The 19,597-nt window shown below is 38.9% G+C and overlaps 1 protein-coding gene across 4 annotated transcripts in view; it reads left to right on the forward strand.

The window, feature by feature from the left end:
* The window catches only part of MLLT10 (MLLT10 histone lysine methyltransferase DOT1L cofactor), a 209,875-nt gene that overhangs the window by 51,991 nt on the left and 138,287 nt on the right, over window positions 1–19,597 (forward strand). For all 4 annotated transcript variants that reach the window (NR_136736.2, NM_001324297.2, NM_004641.4 and 1 more), the window contains 2 exons: window positions 548–602; window positions 9,585–9,694. Coding sequence is in view for 2 of the 4 variants with exons in the window: in NM_004641.4 (NP_004632.1) it covers window positions 548–602; window positions 9,585–9,694 (165 nt within the window). In the remaining 2 variants the exon portion in view is untranslated. The remainder of the gene's footprint in view (window positions 1–547; window positions 603–9,584; window positions 9,695–19,597) is intronic.

Here is a 19,597-nt window from a genome sequence, read left to right on the forward strand (position 1 = left end):
AAATTGTGGCAGGAGTTTTGTTTTGTTTCTTTTAGTTGGAGTTTCGTTTTTGTTGCCCAGACTGGAGTGCAATGGCGCGATCTTGGCTCACCGCAACCTGTACCTCCCGGATTCAAGCAATTCTCCTGCCTCAGCCTCCCCAGTAGCTGGGATTACAGGCATGCGCTGCCAAGCCTGGCTAATTTTTTATTTTTAGTAGAGACGGGGTTTCTGCATGTTGGTCAGGCTGGTCTCGAACTCCCGACCTCAGCTAATCCGCCTGCCTCAGCCTCCCAAAGTTCTAAGATTTACAGGCCTGAGCCACCGCGCCTGGCCCATGGCAGGAATTTAAAAGTTAAAATGTACTTTAAAAAAATTACTTGTCCTCTGAAGAAGATCACATGTCATCAAGAACAACTGTTTGTGAAGAATGTTCTGAAATATTCTTGGGGGGCAACTAGGACAAATGCTGCTCTCACATTTTCAGTAGTTTTGACGTTGCAGGGAAGATACTACATTTTTGATAATCTGAAATATTCATTACCTGTTTCTTTTTTTTTTTTTATAGAGATGTGAACTTTGTCCCCATAAGGATGGAGCTTTAAAAAGAACAGATAATGGGGGTAAGTGCAGAGATTTCTTGAAAAAAATTTTATTGAAAACTGGGACAGTGGAGTATTTTCAAATATTTGGTAGTTTATTTTATTTTATCAAATTAAACAGCGTTTTCTACTCATTTTTAACAGTGGTGGCTATAATTTATAAATCCTTATTGTATTGACCCACAATTTTTCTACTTTGTGGACAAACTTAAGCATTGGGTATTTTATGCAGTATGATCTATTAAATACATACTTCTAATTTAAATTCTTATGTTTTTGGCTGGGCGAGGTGGCTCACACCTGTAATCCCAGCACTTTGGGAGGCCAAGGGAGGTGGATCACCTGAGGTCAGGAGTCGAGACCAGCCTGGCCAACATAGTGAAACCTGGTTTCTACTAAAAATAGAAAAATTAGCCAGGTGTGGTGGTGCCTGCCTGTAGTCCCAGCTACTTGGGAGGCTGAGGCAGGAGAATCGCTTGAACTTGGGAGGCGGAGGTTGCAGTGAGCTGAGATTATACCATTGCCCATTAGCCTGCGTGACAGAAGGAGACTGTCTCCAAAAAAAAAAAGTATTTTTTTTAAATGGATATAGTTTCTTATGTTAGGAATTTTTTTTTTTTGAAAAATGAGCCACATTTTTTTGTTGTTGTTGTTAGACCTAAAATCTGTTGTTTTAGATTCTTTTTTTCTGTTTTGTGTATCTCTAGACAGATGATGTTTCTAGTGAATGTTAATTTTATTTAACTCTGAAGATCTTTGTTGCTTGAATATAAAGAAATGTTGACTTTTAGGCTGGGTGTGCTGCCTGACACCTGTAATCCCAGCTCTTTGAGAGGCCAAGGTAGGAGGCTCACTGGAGCATAGGAGTCTGAGACCATCCTGGGCAACATAGGGAGACCTTGGTCTCTGCAAAAGTAAATATAAAAAATAAAAATAAAAAGACTGAGTTACACATGGTGGCACGTGCCTGCAGTTCCAGCTACTTGGGAAGCTGAGCAGGAGGATGGCTTGAGTCTGGGAGGTCGAGGCTGCAATGAGCCATGGCCACATCACTGTACTTCAGTCCCTGGGATGGGTGAGAGTGAGACCCTGCCTCAAAAAAAAAAAAAAAAAAAAAAAAGCTGACTTCTGTATCACATTTTGGTATGCTTTCCTATGAACCCTTGTATATTACTCATTTTCTTCTCCACTTTCAGTTATCTTTGTCAGAGAAATCATATTTTTCTACAGCTCAGTACTATTCTGAAATGTGTAGACATGAGTTTATTAGACCATGGCATATATGATGAGGCAGCTAAAAAAAGGTTAAGCTGCTATTACTACTATACTCTTCTCCATTTTGGGTAGCCACTTCTAAAGTAGTTTTGGCATAGGCTAGAGTAATGGTGTGAGTAAATAAAAGGGAAAAATAGAATGATTTTGGCTAGATATATATATTTTACAGTTTAATCTTCAGACTATGTTATACAGTCAGATTGTACAGAATTTAAAAATATGTTGAAAACTCTTCCTGTTATTCCTCTTCCCCATCTGCCCAGTTTATCAATAGTTTTCCTGCTACTATGTAATAATTACTTTCTTGCATATCTTTCTAGGTTTCTTTTGCATATTCAAATGTGAATAAAGACTTATTTACTCCCTCCATCTTTATACAAATGGGTTAATATTATATACTCTTCTGCCTCTTAATTTATTTCACTGAACAATTTATCTGTTTTTTTTGAGACTTTGCTTTTCTTTTTTCTTCGATTTTCTTTTTTTTGAAGCTTCGCTCATTTGCCCAGGCTGGAGTGCAGTGGTGCAGTCTCAGCTCACTGCAACCTCCACCTTCCGGGCTCAAGCGATTCTCCTGCCTCAGCCTCCCAAGTTCCTGGGATTACAGGTATGTGCCACCACGCCCGGCTAATTTTTATATTTTTAGTAGAGATGGGGTTTCACGATGTTGGCCAGGCTGGTGTTGAACTCCTGACCTCAAATGATCCTACTGCCTCGGCCTTCCAAAGTGCTGAGATTACAGGTGTGAGTCACTGCACCCGGCATGAACAGTTTATCTTGTTTCAGTATAGAGCTTTTTTTTCTTTTTAACCATGTTATCTAATATCTAATCAATCAGTTCTTGATGCACTTTCTGATCTTCTACTTTGATGACTAACTCTTGTATGTATGTCATTTTGCTTGTATACAAGTATATCTATAGGATTATTAATTTCCATAGGTGGAAACATTGAGTCAAAGGAGTTTTGCCGTTAATTTTGATAGATAGTCCCAAATTATTTGCCCTGTAGTTTTACCAATATATGTTCCCAGTTTTACCAATATATGAATAAAAAAGCTGTTCTACATACCTTTGGTAATCTAACAGGTAAAAGTTTGTATATCCAAGCAGTAGTTTTGCATTTCTCTTAATATTAGTGAGGTTCACATCTTTTTATAGTTTGAAGAGCAGTTTGTTTTTTCTCTTCTGTGGTCTGTTTTTTGACTTGGTTGTTGATCTTTTTCTTTTTTTTTTTTTTTGAGACAGGGTCTCCCTCTGTCACATAGGCTGGAGTGCAGTGGCTTGATCTTGGCTCACCGCAGCCTCTGCCTCCCCCTTTCAAGGGACTCTCCTGCCTCACTCACCCGAATAGCTGGGATTATAGGCACACACCACCGCGCCCAGCTGATTTTTTTATTTTTAGTAGAGATGGGATCCACCCACCTTGGCCTCCCAAAGTGATGGGACTACAGGTGTGAGCCACCATGCCCAGCCACAATTGTTGATCTTTTTACTTTGATTTATTGGAGTGTTCATAAGGAGCCCCTCATATATTATTATGCTGTTTTGATATGAGTTGGACTAATTTTTGCCCATCTGGTCAGTCTTTGTTTATATTGTGCTTTAAAAAAATTTTTTTTTACCGTGCATGAGTTTCTGATTTTAATTTTGTTCAATTTATTAATCTTTCATGATGTCTGTATTTTGAGTTATTAGTTAGAAAGGCCTTCACTATTCCAAAGTTTTTTTTTTTTTTTTTTAAGTGACAGGTTTTCATTCTGTTGTTCAGGCTGAATTACAAGTAGCAGGATCCTAGCTCACTGTAGCTTTGTAGTCCTGGGCTCAAGTGATCTTCCTGCCTCAGCTTTGAGAGTGTTGGAATTACAGGAATGAGCCACTGCACCTGGTGTAAACCTTCCATCTTATTAAATATTTCCTATTCTGGTTTGTTTCACTTGTTCCATTCTACCCTATTAGCTTAAAAAAGTTAACATTACTATGTGCTTTTTTCCTCTTTCTGAATCCTCTGAAACTTTTAGGATACTGTAAATTCACTTGTCCATCTCCAGACATATATTTTATTTTTGTCATGTACTTTCATTCTCTGTTTCTTTAAGAATTATAGTGGTTTTGTCAGGTGTTTGTTGAGGATTATGCTAGTCACTTAAAATGAAACAGTTTGTGTAAATTTGGTGTTATTTTTCTTTGAATTCTATATAGAACTTCGTGAGAAACTGAAACTTTTCTGGGAAAATTTTTGATAAATTCGTTTTTTGGCAAAATTATAGGGACATTCCTTTTCCCCCTTTCCTTTCCCTTTCCCTTCCCCTTCCCCTTCCCCTTTGTCTGTCTCTCTCTCTCTTTCTTTTTTAACAGTGTATCACTTTGTTGCCCAGGCTAGAGTGCAGTGATGCAGTCATAGCTCACTGCAGATTCAAACTCCTGGATTCAAGTGATCCTTCTGCCTCAGCCTCCTGAATAGGTGGGACCACAGGCACACCATGCCTGGCTAATATTTTTTTCTTTTTGTATTTTTTGTAGAGACACGTCGTCTCACTTTGTTGCCGAGGGTCGTCTCGAACATCTGGGATCAAGCTATCCTCCTGCCTCATCCTTCCAAAGTGTTGGGGTTACAGGCTTGAGCCCTTGGGCCTGACCTATTTTTATAAACTTAAGTCAATTTTGGTGCGCTCTATTTTTCCAAGAAATTTAACTACTTTGTATAAGTTGCTGAAATTGTTGGACTAACATTGCCAATAGTATTTTTTTTTTTTTGAGATGGAGTCTTGCTCTGTCACTCAAGCTGGAATGCAGTGGCGTGATGTCGGCTCACTGCAGACTTCACCTCCCAGGTTCAAGTGATTCTCTGCCTCAGCCTCCCAAGTAGCTGGGATTACAGGCAGGCACTACCATGCCCAGCTAATTTTTGTATTTTTAGTAGAGACGGGATCTCACCATGTTGGCCAGTCTGGTCTTGAACTCCTGACCTCAGGTGATCCACCCGCCTTGGCCTCCCAGAGTGCTAGGATTACAGGCGGGAGCCACCACACCCGGCCGCCAGTAGTATTTTATTATTATTTTGTTAATTTTGCTAGCAATGGTAGTAATTACCCCGTTGTTATTCCTGATGTTGGTGACTTGTGTTCTGGTTTTTTCTTTGTTTTTATTTTTATTTTTTTGACCAGTCCAAATAGAATTGTTCAGTTTTATTGACCTTTTTAAAGAAAGTTTTGGGTTTTGTTAATTTTTTTTGCCATCTCCCTGTTTTCTATTTTGTTAAACTTCTGCTCTTTATTATTTCCTTCCTAGTACTTACTATGTGTTACATTTTCCTCTTGTTTTCTAACTTATAAAGGTGGAACCTTAGGTCTTTTATTTTAGATATTCTTTTCTAATGAAAATGTATATGCTGTAAGTTCCTCTCTATTGCTTTTATTGAATCCCACAAGTTGTGTTTTTTTGTTTTTGTTTTTGTTTTTGCTGTTGTTGTTTTGAGACAGGGTCTCAGTTTGTCACCCAGGCTGGAGGGCAGTGGTGTGATCTTGGCTCAGTGAAGCCTCCACCTCCTGGGTTCAAGCGATCCTCCTACCTTAGCCCCTGAGTGGCTGGGACTACACGTGCACGCCACCTTATCCGGCTAATGTTTTTGTATTTGTTGTAGAGACGGGGTTTCACCATGTTGCCCAGGCTGGTCTCAAACTGCTGAGCTCCAGCGATTAACAGGCATGAACCACTGTCCCCAGCCTATGTCTCAAGTTTTGATAAATTTCATATTTGTTGCCATTCCGTTCAAGACATTTTCCAGTTTCCCTTGTGACTTTCTCTTGACTATCTTAGTCTATCTTGGACAGAAGTAGAAGTCTTCTGCTGTTTGTTCGTAACATTGATTTTCCCTCTTATTTCTTATTTCTCTTCTGTTCTTTTTGTGATTATTTTTTAGTGCTGTATTTTAATCAGTTTAACAATGCAACTAGTTAGTATTGCATTTAAATTTAATTATATTAAATTGCCTTAAATTGCCTTTTTGGCCATATCTCTTCCTATATATATATACACAAGTATTTATATTTATCTATATAGTGGTTGCTGTAGGGATTATAATTTTCTTATCAGTAAATTCAGTCTCTACTGAGTGTACAACTTTTTTTTTTTCCTTTTTGAAATGGAGTCTCGGTGTGTTGCCCAGGCTGGACTGCAGTGGCACTATCTCGGCTCACTGCAACCTCTACCTCCCAGGTTCAAGCAGTCCTGCCTCAGCCTCCTGAGTAGCTGGGACTACAGGCACACACCACAACACTCAGCTAATTTTTGTATTTTTAGTAGAGACATAGTTTCACTATATTGGCCAGGCTGGTCTGAAACTCCTGACCTCAAGTGATCTGCCTGCCTTGGCTATCTAAAGTGTTGGGATTACAGGCGTGAGCCACTGCACCTGGCCTGTGTGTGCCACTTAACACGAAATGTAGAATGAAACCATATAGACTTCTTTTACCTGTTTTTTTTCCAGTCTTTGTTATAGTTTTATAGGAAAGCTACATACATTCACAAACCCTACCAGTGTTTTAATATTTAATGTAAGTGGTCATTTGTATTGTAAATGAGTGTGAAGGCATTATTGTTTTGTATGTTCGTTACATATTAAATGTACCTACATGTTTATCACTCTTTATATTTTTCTTCAGTTCTGAGCTTCCTTCTGGAATCATTTTCCTATTACTCAAGGAAAATTGTTTGGTGTTCCCTTTAATGGAAAACTTTTAAAAAATGTTTTCTGGCTTTATTTAGTTATCTAGTTTTTCTTTTGATAACTTGCCTTTTGTCTTTAAGATTTTCATTTCTTTCCCTTAGTTTTCTGTAGTTTTTTTTTTTTTGTTTGTTTTTGTTTTTTTTTGAGACGGAGTCTCACTCTGTCGCCCAGGCTGGAGCGTAGTGGCGCGATCTCGACTCACTGCAGGCTCCACCCCCCGGGGTTCACGCCATTCTCCTGCCTCAGCCTCCCGCGTAGCTGGGACTACAGGCGCCTGCCACCTTGCCCGGCTAATTTTTTGTATTTTTAGTAGAGACGGTGTTTCACCGTGTTAGCCAGGATGGTCTTGATCTCCTGACCGCCTGATCTCTTCATCCGCCCGCCTTGGCCTTCCAAAGTGCTGGGATTACAGGCGTGAGCCACCGCGCCCGGCCAGTTTTCTGTAGTTTTATTGTCTCTTGGTGTATGTCTTTATTTACTCTGATTTATAGTGGTTCTTCAGTCAGTGGCTTTGGGTCTTCTGTTCTGGAAAATTTTTAGGTATTATCAATTCAGATAATGCTTTCATGCCATTTTCTTTCTCATATTTTCTCTGAGACTCTGATTACATGTGTGTTAGATCTGCCTGCCTATTACATTTTTCATGTGTCTTATTCCATTTTTTGTATTTCTTACTTTTGTGCTAACATTCTGGATTTCTTCTGACCTGTTTTGTTCCTACTAATTCTCTTTTCATCCATGTCTAAACCGTTGTTAATCCCACCCATTGATTTTTTTTTTTTGTCTTGAGATAGGGTCTCTATCACCCAGGCTGGATTGCAGTGGCACAATTACAGTTCACAGCAACCTTCAACTCTTGGGCTTAAGCACTCCTCCCACCTCAACCTCCTGAGTAGCTGGGACTATAGGTGCATGCTGCCGCACCTGACTCATTATTTTTTTTTGTAGAGATGGGGTTTCACTTTGTTGCCTAGGGTGGTCTTGAACTCCTGATCTCAAGTGATCCGCCTCAGCCTTCCAAAGTGCTGGGCTTACGGGTGTGAGCCCCTGTGCCTGGCTGATTTCTAAATTTCCTCTTTACTTCTGGAATTTTAATTTATTATTATAGTTTTCAGTTATTTGCATCAATTTAGAATTTTGTCTTGTGTGTACTTGATCATAGTAAGCATACTTATTTTAAAACCTTTATCTGATAACTCCAAAATGGTGATCTGTTTTGATTTTCTTATTTCTCCTTATTTTCATTCATATTGTCTTGTCTGTCATGTGTTTGGTACTTATTGTGCTGGAAATTATATGTAATGAAGAAATTTTAGGCTGGGTGTGGTAGCTCATGTCTGTATTCCCACCACTTTGGGAGGCTGAGACTGGTGGATCACTTGAGGTCAGGAGGTCGAGACCAGCCTGGTCAACATAGTGAAACATGGTCTCTACTAAAAATACAAAAATTAGCCCCGTGTGGTGGTGGGCACCTGTAATCCCAGCTACTTGGGAGGCTGAGGCAGGAGAATTGGTTGAACTGGAAGGAGGAAGTTGTAGTGAGCCGAAATCATGCCAGTGCAGTCCAGCCTGGGCGACAGACCAAGGCTTTGTCTTTAAAAAAAAAAAAAAAAAAAAAAAAAAAAAAAAGGTGGAAATTATTTGTAGCCAAGATGATACTGTTTTCTTTTAGAGAGGATAGATGTATATTTGCATCTGCTTGGTGCCTTGGGGGTTGTAATTTAGGATTACCTTCGTCAAATTTCAGTTTGAGATGGTCAGAGGCCTGGTGTAGTCTCTTTGAGGGTCTATGTACTTTTTGTGTATTCTTAGCTCTAGTTTGCCCTTCAGTGTTGCATCTGAAACGAGAGGGGTTTACTTGTTCCCTTTTTCTGTTGGTTGTTTCTGAATGTACATCCCTGTACTGTTAGGCCTCTGAGTTTGTCAAAAGTACCCTTCAGGCTGAGCGTGGTGCTCATGCCTGTAATCCCATCACTTGGGGAGGCTGAGGTGGGCGGATCACCTGAGGTCGGGAGTTCAAGACCAGCCTGACCTACATGGAGAAGCCCCACCCCTACTAAAAATACAAAATTAGCCGGGTGTGGTGGTGCATGCCTGTAATCCCAGCTACTGGGTCATTTGTATTGTAAAAGAGAATTGCTTGAACCCAGGAGGCGGAGGTCGCGGTGAGACGAGATCGCGCCACTGCTCTCCAGCCTGGGCAACAAGAGCGAAACTCTGTCTCAAAAAAAAAAAAAAAAAAAAAAAGGACCCTTCATCCTCACCACCGCTTTCTCTGAAATAGGCAAATGTTCCCTGGGCAAAAGTGGCCAAAAACTGTACCTAGGACTTTCATTCTTTTCCGGTTTTAGCCCAGAAACTCCTCACTATCATATCAGCTCTTTAATACCTTCAGTCGGGAGGCTGAGGCAGGAGAATTGCTTGAACCTGGGAGGCGGAGGTTGCGGTGAGCCGAGATCGCGCCATTGCACTCCAGCCTGGGCAACAAGAGTGAAACTCCATCTCAAAAAAAAAAAAAATTTAATATGAAATTTAACACATTTCAAATTAAAATAGTGAAATGATTATTACTAATATTAAAAATATTGACACTAAGATAAAAATAATTTCATGTTGACATTTAAAATGATTAAGATAATTAAATTTTGTCGTAAGTATTAAACTTTTAAAAACTCCTTTTATAGTGGTTCTCAGAGGTAGCGTTGATCTGAATATTTAGTCTGCCTGTATAAGAAGTGTTAGTGCCAACATCTGAATTTATAAATGTTTCCCTTTATTTATGTAACTGTACATCATAACTGGGGAAATGATTAAGAATGCTTTTTTTTGGTAGTGGTTTGAGTATTCTCAAGCAATGGAAGTAAGACAGCAATGAGAATTTGTTAATGTCCTTGTTGTGCATTTATTTCAATAGACATTTAAGGGATCTGTTAAGGAAGTTAACGGTGTTAATTTGCTTTCGATAAAACTGAAAAGATGACATTTATTTATTTATTTTTAGGTTGGGCCCATGTGGTTTGTGCCCTGTATATTCCAGAGGTACAATTTGCCAATGTTTCCACAATGGAACCAATTGTTTTACAGTCTGTTCCGCATGATCGTTATAATAAGGTACAGTGGATATTATTTTATTACTGTTTGAATATCACTACTGGGAAGTAGAAAGGAAGTTTTTGTGTTTTTAAAATCACAGGTCTCCATCAAATCCAGGGAGATTTGGAAAAAAAATTACTACTCCAAACTGCAGTTATTAAAATGTTATTAATATGTTACTAAGGTCACAGGAGTACAAAGCAAGCAAAACTGTGTTACCTTTTATAGTAACCTAGGTATTTAGTATTCTACGATATACAGGATATTTTAATCCTTACAGATTGGTGCTTTATGAATTACTGACCTCTTTTGCGCTTTCAAGTATCAAGAGCCTGTTAAATTTGAATTAATTATTATTTTGCATAATATTCATTACAATGTATCATACATTCTTTTTTGAAGAACAGTCCTATATTAGAATGTTACTTGTCTCCTCCTCCCAAAGTTATTTGTACCCCAAGATATGGTTTTTATTGTTGGCCTTAAAAAAAAAGTTTGCTTTTTTCCTGTATATTTTTCTTCATTTAGTACATATATATTATTGTTTTATTCTCCTGTGCATTTTAGGTTTTACCATTACCCAATGTGCCTTTAAATATAGTTTTATTATTTAATTGAAGGTACACATTCCATCCGTGGAAGAAATTGCAGCCAGCTTTAAGATTTTAAATGTTTTTGTGTAAAAAACCTTTTTATTTTGTAATTAATATTTATTTTAAAAACTTGAAAATACAGACAAGTAAATAAATATAAGACAAAAATCATTCATAATCTTATTCAGGTTCATCCAGGTTTTTTTCTGTGTATTTTTGCTTATAGTATATGCTTACAAAAAAGTTGAATCGTTTTCGCTTATATTTTTTCTTTGCTTTTGGAACTTACACAGCATCTTTTGCGAGTCAATAAATTGTGTTTCTGCTGTATTTTTAATAGATACTTAGTCTGTAATACAAAACATGAGATTCAACAAACTGTAAATTTAATTAAGCAACCCTTTGTGGTTGAAGGGCCTAGTTTGGTGTCTGGCATTTAGTATACACTGCTAGCATCTGTGTAAAAGTGTGTGAACATTTTGGAAGCTTCAATAAATACATTGTGTGAAATTGTCCTCTGGAAGTTACACTGTATTAGCTATATGTGAGATTGCTCATAACCCTATATTATGTTAGGTACACTGTGTTACCCTTAAAAAACTTTGCTATTCTTTCTAGTAAAAAAAAAAAAAAATATTAAAATGTTTGAAAGAGTTTGAGTACTGGTAAGGTTAATTATTTTAAAGTTTGTTTTTTGAAGATTATTCATGTATGTTAATTGACCTTCCATATCTGTTTATTTTAATATTATAATTTTTTTTACAAAGTGTTTTATGTTAGAGATCATATTATTTTGTCTTGTATATTTGCTGTGTGTGTTTTTTCCCATAATTTAACATTTGGTTTTTAATTTTGTTACGTCTTCATAGCTTTTGTTGTTGGGATTCTAGCAGGTTAATTTTTTGTAATGCAGAAGTTTACATTTTCGAGGTAATTTACACAAATGCTCTTTATTGTTTCTGCCTTTGATGCTGTGCAAAGAAAATCTTTATATTAATGCACTTTTTTTTTTTAGTGCTTTGGAAGTTCGTTTTTAAAAACCTTGTTTTTCTTTTTAATTTTAAAAGCATTAAAACTTACAAACAGGTTGCAGGAATAGTACAAAAGAACTCTTCCTTCCCTAAACCATTTGAGAGTAACTTACCAATATAATATGCTGTCACCCCTGAATACTTCAGAGTTTCCCATAAAGAAGGATACTCTCTTGGGAATATACAATATGCCGTCAAAATAAGGAAATTAACAGCGATACATTATTACTCTCTGATCTTTGGAACCCATTCATGTTTTTGTAGGCATATTCTTTATAGCAAAAGAATCACAAACTGCATTTTGACTCTTTGGTCTTTTTATTTATTTTTATTTTTATTTTTGTACAGAGTCTCACTCTGTCACCCAGGCTGGAGTGTAGTAGCGCAGTCTCGGCTCACTGCAGCCTCCACCTCCTGGGTTCAAGTGATTCTTGTGCCTCAGCGTCCCGAGTAGCTGGGATTACAGGTGTACACCACCACATCCAGCTAATTTTTTTGTGCTTTTAGTAAAGACAGGCTCTTGCCATGTTGGCCAGGCTGCTCTCGAACTCCTGGCCTCAAGTGATCTGCCTCCCTCAGCCTCTGAAAGTGTTGGGATTACAGGCGTGAGCCACCCCACCCGGGTCTCTTTGGTCTTTTTAAATCTCAAATGGTAACTCAGTCTTTCCCCGAGTTTCAGAAATTTGATGCTTTTGAATATTACAGGCCAGTTATTTTGTAGAGTGACCCCCTATTTGGATTTGCCTGATGTTTCATCATGATTAAATACAGTTATGTTTTTAGCAGGAGTATCACATATGTGATTCTGTGTTCTTTTTTTTGCATCCTATCAGTTGGTACATAATTTCAGTTTTTCCTTGATCACTTGGTTAAGGTGTGTCTGTCAGTTTTCTCCACAGTGAGGTTAATCTTTTTTCTTTTTATAGTCAGTATGGATTTTGTGGGGGAAGTACTTCATATATAAACATCTTGTTCCTTTTGCCTTTTCCTCACTAATTTTAGCATTCATTGATGTTTCTTGACCTAATTTATGACTAGGATTGATGGCAAGTAGTGGTTTTCTAATTTCACCCTTTCTTTTACATTCATCAGTTGACATTCCACTGTAAGGTGAAGCTTTCTTTACTTGCTGATTATTTGTATTAGTATGGACTTATGCTATTTTATTTTAATGGGTCATATTCCACTAATGTCATTTATTTTGATGTTCATACTGTCTCAGGTTTGCCTGGTGGGACCTCTTTAAGCTGGCTTCTGTGTCTTTTGACCTATCATTTCAGAGAAGCATTTCTCTACTTCTGACACAACAGTATAATCTAGGCTCATCTTGTGTTATTCCTGCTGTAGTTCTGAAATCACCATTTCTCTGAGTAACCTTGATTTCTTTTTGGTGAGAATAATATTTAGAAGCCAAAGTGGGTGCTAGGTGTGGGTTATTGCTACTCTCAGTCAGCATGGCTAGGAAATGTGTGTTTGTGTGTGTGTGTATTCCTACGGAGATACATATTTCTATAAATTCACATCTATTGTTTCTATATCTATGTAGAAAACTGTGGGCCAGGCGCGATGGCTTATGCCTGTAATCCTAGCATTTTGGGAGGCCGAAGCCAGCGGGATGACTTGAGGTCCAGAGTTCGAAACCAGCCTAGCTAATGAAACCCTGTCTCTACTAAAAATACAAAAATTAGCTGGGCATGGTGGTGCACGCCTGTAATCCCAGCTGCTTGGGAGGCTGAGGCATGACGAGAATCACTTGAGTCCTGGAGGCAGAGAGGGTGCAGTGAGCCAAGATCACACCACTTCACTCCAGCCTGAATAACGGAGTGAGATTCTGTCTCAAAAAAAAAAATTGGCTGGGCCTGCTGACTCACGCCTGTAATCCCAGCACTTTGGGAGACCCAGGCGGGTAGATCACGAGGTCAGGAGTTCAAGACCAGCCTGACCAAGATGGCGAAACCCCGTCTCTACTAAAAAATACAAAAATTAGCCGGGTGTAGTAGCAGGCGCCTGTAATCCCACTACTCAGGAGGCTGAGGCAGGAGAATTGCTTGAACCTGGAAAGCGGAGGTTGCAGTGAGCCGAGATCGCACCACTGCACCTCAGCCTGGGTGACAGAGTGAGACTCCATCTCAAAAAAAAAAAAAAATTAGCTGGGCATGGTAGTGGACGCCTGTAATCCCAGCTACTCGGGAGGCTGAGACAGGAGAATTGCTTGAACCTGGGAAGCAGAGGTTGCAGTGAGCCAAGATTGTGCCACTGCACTCCAGCCTGGGCGACAGAATGAGACTCCATCTCAAAAAACAAAAAGAACAAGCTGTGAGGTCACAATACTTTGATTCATTATGTGAATATACATACACACACTAATCTCTATTACTGTATCCATCTCTATATATTGAACTCCATATGCTCATGGTAACTTCTCCAAATCTAGCCCAACAAAACAGGGTTCATTTTAATTTTTTCCCCCATATTTATGATTCTCAGACAGAAACCTGACTCTTAATATTTTTAATAGTTTACTTATTTGATCAAAGTGACCCTGTCTCACTTTGTCACCCAGGCTGGAGTGCAGTGGTGCAGTTTTGGCTCACTGCAGCCTCGACCTCTTGGGCTCAAGCAGTCCTTCCACTTCAGCCCTCTAAGTATGTGGGACTACAGGCACACCCATCACACCCGGCTAAGTTTTTTGTATTTTTTTTGTAGAGTTGAGGTTTCATAATGATGCCCAGGCTGATCTTGAACTCCTGAGCTCAAGTGATCTGCCTGCTCTGGCCTCCCAAGGTGCTAAGATTACAGGCATGAGCCACTATATGGGCCCAGCCCCATCTTGTGGCTTTAAGACTAAAATAGTTCAAGTAGAAAAGGAGCAAAGGTAGACCAAAGAAGGAATTATTTAGATATAAACATTTCATTAGCCTAGAATAATTTTAGAATATGGTAAGATATGTGCCCAACTTTCCCTTCCCACCTGGTTAGTCAACTTTTTCAACACTATTGCTGAATAATCTATGTTTTCCATAGTGATTTGAAATATTATTTGAATCATTACTAAATTATTGAATACTTGAGTTTGTTTCTGGACTTTTTATGTGTTCCTTTGGTGTGTCTATTTTTATCCTGGCACCACACACACTATTTTAAATTATTGTGGCTTTATATGCATTTTAGTACATGGTAAGACAAATATTATCATGTATTTATTTTTCTAGATGAACATTAGGACTAATAAAAGCACAATTTAGACTGTATTAGAGTTACAGTGAAATACTGTTTTAGGGATGAATATATTTTTACAATATTGAATCTTTCCTGAGATAGAACACACACACACACACACACACACACACACACACAGTTAATTGAAACATTTCTTAGAATGAAGAGATAGACACTAAGTTTTAAATTCCTGACTTATGTTCATGAAACATATTACTCTGTTTGTAAAACAAGTCTTGTGTCTACAAATTGTTCACTGGCATGTATTAACGAGATGATAATAAGGCCCCTGATATTCATATTTGTATGAAAGCATTGAATATATTTGCATTTGTCTATATCTAATAAATGTTTATTTTTGCTTGACACTTTATACTAGTTACTTAGGTGAGTGCTTAAATTGATTTTTCTTTTCTGGAAAATTGAATCATTTTGAAAAGCAAAATCTTGCAGTTCTGGCTGTAAAAAAATTCTTTTGCTCTTTTTGATACATCAGCTGATTCTCATTTTGAAATTTTCTATTTGACTTCTCTCTGCTGTCTTTGTGTGTTCTCTCTCTCCAGCCCCCCTCTCCCCAACCCTAGTTACACATTCTCTTACACTTGGTATTCTCTTTTTCTCAGGAATAGTAAACTATTATTCATTATATTTGTTTCTTGTGGTCTCTCCTCCCCTGCCACTCCCCTCTTCTTTTTTTTCCAACATGGTCTTGCTGTTGCCCAGCCTGGAGTGCAGTGGTGCAATTACAGCTCACTGTAGCTTCTACTTCCCAGCCTCAAGCAATCCTCCCATCTCAGTCTCCTGAGTAGCTGTGACTACAGGCATGCACCATCATGTCTGGCTACTTTTGTTTTATTTTTTATAGAGATAGGATCTCACTATGTTGCCTAGGCTGGTCTTGAACTCTTGGATTCAAACAACCCCCCTGCCTTGGCCTCCCAAAGTGTTGGAATTACAAGCGTGAGCCACCATGCCTGGCCTCTTTGTGTCTTTTGTGCTTGTCAACTTGATATATTATTTGCTTTCTTACTCTCAACAGTTCCAAGACTCAAAGGCCTATTTATTTGATAAGGACTGTGGAAGAATGACACTATAATATCCCTCATTGTTATTTCTTTTCTCTTAGCTACCAAAGGCAGCAAGCATTCCAATCTAAACTTTTGGAAATGGCAGTGTATAGTAGCAGCTTAAAATTGTTCATGAGATTAAAATCTGTAATCTCACTCACCAACATTGCCTATCTCAGTGCTTTTCTTTTTGTAATATTTATTTATTTAGAGATAGAGTCTTACTCCATCACCCCAGGGTGGAGTGCAGTGGACAGTTATGTCTCACGATAGCCTCAAACTGCTGGCCTCAAGCAATCAGTCCTCCCACCTCAGTCTCCTGAGTAACTAGGAGTACAGGTGCCACCACCACACCTAGTTTTTTTAAAAATATTGGTAGAATTGGTAGAGAGACAGCATCTTGCTATATATAGCCCAGGCTGGTTGTGAACTCCTGGCCTCAAGTTATTCTTCGACCTCAGCCTCCCAAAATGCTGGGATTACTGTCAGCCACTATGCCTGGCCCTATCTCAGTTTTTTGTTTTTGTTTTTGTTTTTAATATTTATTTGGCTTCTGGAGTACTCTAGATGATAGGTATTTAATATAATCTGATAAGAAATTGATTGGGAGATTTTACAAAAACTGATACTTCAGGGAAGGTTACATTGCTGGGCAACATGGTATTAAAATAAGACAGGTCAAATTTGAGAAATCTGTGATTCTACAGGTTACCCTACAGGTAACTGACTCAATGTCTCAGTCCTAAATTTCCAGGAGAACAATTCTGGTATAAGCACCTGGATTTAGAAGCTATTTTCACCTAGACAAACATGAGTACCTAGGCACCATTCCATTATTAGAAATTGAGCATAGATGCTAATTTCTAGAAAAGAGAGATGGGTTGTCCAGGTGGGCAACAAGTTGCAGTTTTGATCAGGCTGCTGCTGCTGGTGGTTTATCCAGCTACAAAATTCCAGGATACACAGTTTGCCTCTTTCTCCCCTACCCCCAGCTGGCTCCCCCGTTATAGGTCAAATTTATTTATTTTTTTTTGAAAGTTGGTAGCATTGACATATCCTGGAATTGTGACCATTTAAATTCTCAGATAACACACCATGTGATAATCTTTTTATAGGGTTATGTCAAGAATCTTTTGTATATACCACCTCTTCCCCACAGTGATGAAGAAACAAAGGAATGCATGTTAGTTGCAAAAAGTCTGAGTGAGATAGACTCCTAGATTAACTTATCTTATGTGACACTAGGGGCATATAGATCATTTTTAAGGGAATATAAGTAACTGTGATGATTAATGTTTTCAAATTGGTTTTAGTTTTTTGAAACTGTTGTTGTGCCATGTAATCCATTATGGTTTTCTTCACATAAACATTTAAATGGAGTTTTTTCCTTTATCTAAACTCTTTTTTTTTTTTTGAGACAGTGTCTTGCTCTGTCGCCCAGGCTGGAGTGCAGTGGCGCAATCTCGGCTCACTGCAAGCTCCACCTCCCAGGGTTCACACCATTCTCCTGCCTCAGCCTCCCGAGTAGCTGGGACTACAGGTGCCCTCCACCACGCCCGGCTAATTTTTTTTTGTATTTTTAGTAGAGACGGGGTTTCACCATGTTAGCCAGGATGGTCTAGATCTCCTGACCTGGTGATCCACCTGCCTCGGCCTCCCAAAGTGCTGGGATTACAGGCGTGAGCCACTGCGCCCGGCCTATCTTAACTCTTAATCAAAAAATTTTTTTCTTTTTTTTTTGAGATGGAATCTCACTGTTTCCCAGGCTGAAATGCAGTGGTGCGATCTTGGCTCACTGCAACCTCCTCCTCCCGAGTTCAAGCCATTCTCCTGTCTCAGCCTCCCGAGTAGCTGGGATTATAGGTGTCCACCACCGTGCTCGGCTAATTTTTTTTTTTTTTTTTTTGTATTTTTAGTAGAGGCGGGGTTTCACCATGTTGGCCAGGCTGGTCTCAAATTCCTGATATCAGGTGATTTGCCCACCTTAGCCTCTGAAAGTGCTGGGATTACAGATGTGAGCCACTGTGCTGGCCTTGATCAATTTCTTTTATGCCTGATATAAAGAAGAGCTTTGGGGCTTATTTCCAATTTTATTCAAATGTTTCCTAATTTGTCTGCTTCTGCTTTTAAAGCTTTAATACTTAATCTACTTATTATAACATTCGTTTATTAAGAATTTCTGAAATTGTCAAATATATAAAACAGTAAGCAATAATATAACAAACAACCTGTGTAGATTCATCACCCAATTCTAACACATGACCAGCTCATAGCCAATTTTTCATACACCCCCTGTAGTAGGGCTGCTGTAACAAAATATCACAAACTGGGTGACTTGAAGCAGCAGAAATTTCTTCTTACAATTAAAGAGGCTACAAGTCTGAAATCAAGATATCAGCTGGGTGGATCCTTTTGAGAACTCTTAAGGGAAATCTGTTCCATGCTTCCTAGCTTCTAGTGATGGATGTCAGTGGTTGACAGTTTTTGTTTTTTTGTTTTTTTTTTTTTAATCACCCTAATCTCTGCTGCTATCTTCACATTCCATTCTTCCTTTGTCTCTGTCTCCATATGGCTATCTTCTTATTAGGAGACCAGTCATATTGGATTAGGGTCCTGCCCTACTCCATCATGTGACCTCATCCTAATTACATTTGCAATGATCCTTTTTCCAAATAAGGTTACTGTGTAAGATACTGGGTGTTAAGGACTTCACATACATTTCTTGGGGACCACAGTTCAACCCATAGCAGTCTGCCTTCTGGACCCCCCAAAATTTATGTTCTTTCCACATACAAAATAGGTGTGCTGTATCCCAGTAGTCCCCAAAACTGTTAATCCATTTTGATGTAAACTCTGTAAGTAAGTCTCACATCTTACCTGAATATAATAAACTCAGAAAGTCCCAAATCTCATCTTCTGAATCATTGGAATTGGCGATGGATTAAGACTTTGGTTAATCCTGAAGCAAAATTTCTATCTCTGCTGGGCATCTCTGGTGGCTCAGGCCTGTAATCTCAGCACTTTGGGCAGGCAGATGACCTGAGGTCAGGAGTTCAAGACCAGCCTGGCTAACACAGTGAAACCCTGTCTCTACTAAAAATGCAAAAATTAGCGAGGTGTAGTGGCACACACCTGTAGTCCCAGCTACTCGGGTGGCGGAGGAGGAGAGTCGCTTGAAGCTGGGAGGCAGAGGTTGCAGTGAGCCGAGACTGTGCCATTGCACTCCAGCCTGGGTGGCAAGAGTGAGACTGTTTAAAAAAAATAATAATAACTTCTATTTCTAAAGCTGTGATACATAGAAAACAAGTTATCTGTTTCTGAGATGCAATGGTGGGACAGGTGAAGAAGCATTCCCATTCCAAAAGAGATAAATTGGAAGGAGAAAAGGGGTTTAAAGCAGGTTTGTAAGTCTGCAGGACAAATTCCATTCAGTTCTGAGACTTGAAAATAGTTCTCTGTGGCTTGATATTCCGTTCTCTAGGTGCATTGACACGGCCTTACCCCTTGGTCCTGGATTGGCAGCCTGCCCATTTTTTTTTTTTCTTATGACTGCTTAGTTCCTATTTTTTGTTTTTTTTATTTCTACCTTTTTAATCTTAAGTACAGATGCTTCTTGAGTTATGATGAGCTTACATTCTGATAAGGCAGGAGTATTATTTGAGTCCAGGAGTTTGAGGCTTTAGAGTGTGATTATTGCACCTGTGAACAGCCACTTCACTGCAGCCTAGGCAACATAGTGAGACCCCATCTCTTTAAAAAAAAAAAAAAAAGAAAGAAATATACCTTATTTATTTAACATCTTGGCTTAGCCTAGTCTACCTTAAACATGCTTAGAACACTTACATAGCCTACAGTTGGGAAAAATCATCTGTCTACACAGTTCACTGGACAAGCAAGCATTGGTTGTTTAGTCTCATGATGGCGTGGCTGACTGGGAGTTGTGGCTTGCTGCCGCTGCCCAGCATCACAAGAGAATATTGTACTGATGTGTATCAGGTTTGCATCATGGTG

This window comes from Homo sapiens, chromosome 10, assembly GCF_000001405.40.
Source record: "Homo sapiens chromosome 10, GRCh38.p14 Primary Assembly".
NCBI classification, from domain to species: Eukaryota; Metazoa; Chordata; class Mammalia; order Primates; family Hominidae; genus Homo; species Homo sapiens.